The sequence below is a fragment of the Homo sapiens genome, chromosome 1 (genome assembly GCF_000001405.40).
Source record: "Homo sapiens chromosome 1, GRCh38.p14 Primary Assembly".
Lineage (NCBI taxonomy): Eukaryota > Metazoa > Chordata > Mammalia > Primates > Hominidae > Homo > Homo sapiens.
The window spans coordinates 181,234,296-181,238,604 of NC_000001.11; the positions used below are offsets into that span (position 1 = coordinate 181,234,296).

The 4,309-nt window shown below is 47.9% G+C and overlaps 1 long non-coding RNA gene across 1 annotated transcript; it reads left to right on the plus strand.

The window, feature by feature from the left end:
- The first annotated feature begins 2,092 nt into the window (after nucleotides 1-2,092).
- LINC01699 (long intergenic non-protein coding RNA 1699) lies at nucleotides 2,093-4,309 on the plus strand. Its single transcript, NR_046249.1, has 3 exons — nucleotides 2,093-2,210; nucleotides 3,337-3,442; nucleotides 4,275-4,309. It is a non-coding gene; the product is annotated as a long intergenic non-protein coding RNA 1699 (long non-coding RNA).

Here is a 4,309-nt window from a genome sequence, read left to right on the forward strand (position 1 = left end):
ATCACAAAGAAATGATAAATGTGTGAGGTGACCGTCAGGCTAACTACACTGATTTGGTCATTTTACAATGTATATATGTATCAAAACATCAAATTGTATCCCATAAATATGTGCAATTACAATGTCTCAAAGTAATCATAAAAGAATATTATTATTAGAAGGAAGGATTTCTGTAAAGGAAAAGAAACAAAAAAGAATAGATGATCAGGACTGTAAGTGCAGTCACCCAATAAAAAGTCATAGTTCCTTGTCTGGTTTCTGGACGTGAGATAGTTTCCCGGACTCACTGAAGGAGAGGCAAAGTCCCCAGGAAGAAGGACATCTCTGCAGGTATACATGTTAATGATTCTACCATTCCTTCCTTCAAAGACACCTACAACCGTTTATTCTGGTAATTATATTCTGGGGAAAAAAGAATACTGAAATAGTTTGTGGCAGGTGGACATAGAGTTTGAGTTGACATAGACACCTCCCACTGCTCCTGCCCTCATTCACTCTGAGCCAGCTGCATGGGCCAGAAGTGGACTTACCTCAGGGCCTTTGCACCTGCTGTCCCCTCTGCCCACATGTCCTTCCCCCAAAGATCTGCATGGCTCCCCACCTCACCTCTCAGGGTGCCTCTGTTTCCTCTTTGTAAATGGGGTGATAACCACAGTACCCACCCCAGGGAATTGGTAGAAGTGTTGCATTAATGACATGAATTGCTATTTGTAAAGTTTTTAGAACAGTGCTGAACATGCAGGTGCACTGTATAGGTGTTTGGGACCTATAAAAACATGGAGCTTGAAATCTTAGATGATGTCTCCTCATCTTATGAAGTTCTTTCTCGATTCTTGCAGCTACTCTGGATTGGGTGAAGCGAAGCTGAGCAGTTGAGGACTGAAGGTCACGCCTTTTGTATGAGTGAAGGAGAGAGGAAGTCTAGGCAAGCCTTCTGTGGGGGTTCATCAGTGGTTACCCAGGCTCGTCTCTGAGCCAGGTTGCTAGGCTGGCCAGCGTGTGACCTCCAAAATCCACCTCAGACAACAGGGTCCTGGTTTCTGGGGATGGGAACAGTGAATGAGTTTTTAAAAGGTCCTCAGTGAGCCAGGGGTGGTGCCACATGCCTGTAGTCCCCGCTACTCAGGAGGCTGGGGAGGGAGGATCACTGGAACCCAGGAGGTCAAGGCTGCAGTGTGCTATGATCATGTCTATGAATAGCCACTGCACGCCAACCTGGGCAGCATAGTGAGACCCCATCTCAAATAATAAAAAAAGGTCTTCAGGAGATTTTGATATATAACTAGCTATGGAACTCATTGTAGTGCTGATTTGCCTTTTCTGCCTGTTTTATTTTGTTTTAGTCTGTGGAGAGTGAGTGTGTTTGTGTGGGGGATAATCCTTTGTAATCCACTTGCTCTGGCAGAGCTATTGTAATGATTGGTTTGGATGTGATACTTTTGTATCAAAGCTCTTTCCATTGTCAGGTGGGTGAATAAAGATCATTATTTGTTCCTGTATGTAACTGTCAAGTAGAGAGCTTTCCCATTCTCTCCCTGCATCGCTCTGTATGCAGTAGGTATGCGGGAATGTAGTTATGGCAATGACATGCCCTTCTGACCATTTCCCACATCCCTTTCTGAGTCAGGTAGAAATATTTGAGGGCCAGTGGGACTGACAATAGCTGTTCTAGGAGGTCAGAAAGGAAGCGGAAAAGCAAGGCTGGCTTGGTTTCTGGAGGAAGAGAAGCCGGTCCTGAGAGCCCTCCAGCCTCCCGGCACTACTAGGGAAACTGTCCAGTTGAGTTACTTAGAATTGCATCTCTACTGGGCCCTGCTGTTAATCTCCAGCCCAGCCCCCATCAGAACCCAGATCGATAGCTGAGAATGGAGCTGTCTGTCTTTCTGACCCCCCTGATTGTTTTGTTATTGCTGGTGGGCTGATTTCCAGTTATGTAACCTCCTCTCTGTTAGATGAAATCTCATTATTTTACTGTGCTGTGCACATCAGGTCTGTTTCACGTTGAGCTACCTGAGAGGAGCTGGGAACGTGCTGTTTCTCATCATTATCACCCAGCAAGAGAACTGGAGAGAGAGCTACACCCAAACCAATTATGGTCAGGCCCTCTGGGCTGTTATATAATTTTCCAGGAGACAGTGGAGTGAAGCAGACCTCAGCGTCCCAGAGGTGTGCTGCCACGACAGTGTGCTTTCCTTGCTTGGAAGTCTTGGGTAAGTAAGTTCTCTTTCCAGCCCAGAAGATTTTGAGGGGCATTTGTATATGGGGTAGAGAGAGTTCCTAAATTGACTTACGATTTTCTTGCACACAAATAAACAAAGAAGCAAGCAAACAAAAGCAAAGAGAGGCCTTCTTTCTAGGCCTGCTGTCTACTACGTTTTAGGTCCTGAGTAAGCTCTGATCCAGGCAAATCAGGTAACCAGTGTCATGGCCTCGAATCCACATATGAAAACCCTGACTCCCAGGCACAGTGTCCAGTGGGAAGCAGAAGGCCTGGTGAGATCCCAAGACCTGGAGTCCTCCGAGGTGGTTAGCGTGGTATGACTGGGGATAGTGGGCGCTCCGGGGTCAGGAGAACTGGTTTGATTCTGCTCTGCCACTTACCACCCATGTGATCTTGCACAAATCACTCTGCCAGTCAGGAAAACAGAAACAGGCCCAGGTCTTTCCACAGAGGGTGTTTAATTACACAGGCAATGGAAGAGCTGAGGAGACAAACAGCGGCCAAACGGGGGCCAAACGGAGACCGAGAGCACAGGCCAAGAAGAGAGGGATTCTGCAGGAGGTGGGAAGCCAAGGGCCCTCCAGTGGGAGGGGCTGCCCAGTGTGAGCCAGGGCTCTGGAGCCAGGGGAGGAGCTGGAATCATGGGGAAGACAGATCTGAGAGATGTCATTTGGGGTAGAAAGAAATGAAGAGAAATACCCTGGCATCTCCCTTACTCTCTCCTCCAATCTTACCCTGATCCCCCTTTGGTTGAACCTACAGGATGGCAAAGGAGCTTGGGAAATGAGTCTACAGTGGAACAGAACAGAGCAGGGAAAGGGCAGGGAATGGATGAAAGAGCAAACGGGGGCATGGCCTGTGTAGAGTGAATGTCTTTGAATAAATTGTCTCCAATGTGAATTATTGCCACTGTCCCTAGGGCTGAGGCATGGGTGGACCAGGAGCTGGACTGGCCAGTGGACACTCTCAGCTATTTGGGAGGTGAAGGGGATGCAGTGTTTGCCCACACTGGTACCTCCTGTGACCAGCACAGCAGCCCTTGGTGATAATCTCCACGGGGCAGATAAACATGACCCTGTGTACTTCCATTTTACTGCTTTGTTTCTTTCTTTTAGAAGCTTCTTACCTCCTCTAAGAAGATTTTCCAGGCAAAACCCAGATCTGCTTTAGTGACTTCAGAAGAAAAAGATCTGAGGGAGGATGAGAAGCCGATAGCCAATGGTATGTGTGTGAAAACACGTGGCAGACACACATGCTCTCCAGCATTCTATCTCAGCTGATGGTCAGCAAGCCTTGGGGCGTCTTCATCTCCTTCTCCTTCATCTCACTGTCTTTCTACCATGCCATCTCTATCAGTTCAGTTCCCAGTGGAAGACAGGTGGTTTAGCCAAAGAAAATCTAATGAGGGGTCTATTTATCTGTGGTCAGGGTTTGGGATGCCCATGTGCAGTAGTGATGCCCCAGGGATGAGCAAGAGTGGGAAGCTGTGGCCACCTTGAGACCTCAGGGCCAACAGAAGGGACTATGCTTCTGGAGCCCTGGGGAGCGGGAGCTTGGAAGAGGGCAAGAGGGGTCACCTCAGAAGCTATAGTCACAGGGAGATGCAACCACTGCCCAGACTGTGGCAAGGCATGGCGGGAGCAGGGGGAATCAACACCCAGCACCTGTCCCTTTGACCCTTTGACTTGCTGGTGGCTTGCATTGGCTAAACCAGAAACTGGAGGGCAAGAGCCCCTCAGTGTAGCAGCCTATGGGGGCCAACCTTCTGAGGTCAAAGCAGGACAGAAGGTGGAGAAGGGACTTGGGGGGACACATGGAGAACAATCAACAAAGTTTACCCCCTTTGTCACTTGGCACTGGAAAATCTGAGAAGCACCAGATGTTGTGAGTTACCTAAGAGGGGTTTGTTGCTTCAATGTCTTTCCAATTTGGGGGATTTTTGAAGAAAGTGTTTATGAGCAGGGCAGCTTGCCCCTTTACCTAGTCTTCCAAGAATAAAAGACAAGGCCTCAGTTTTTAGTCAGTTGTAAACACTTATATTCTTTATTTTTAGGTTATGAGGATGAGGGTCGCTATCCAAAGGATTGA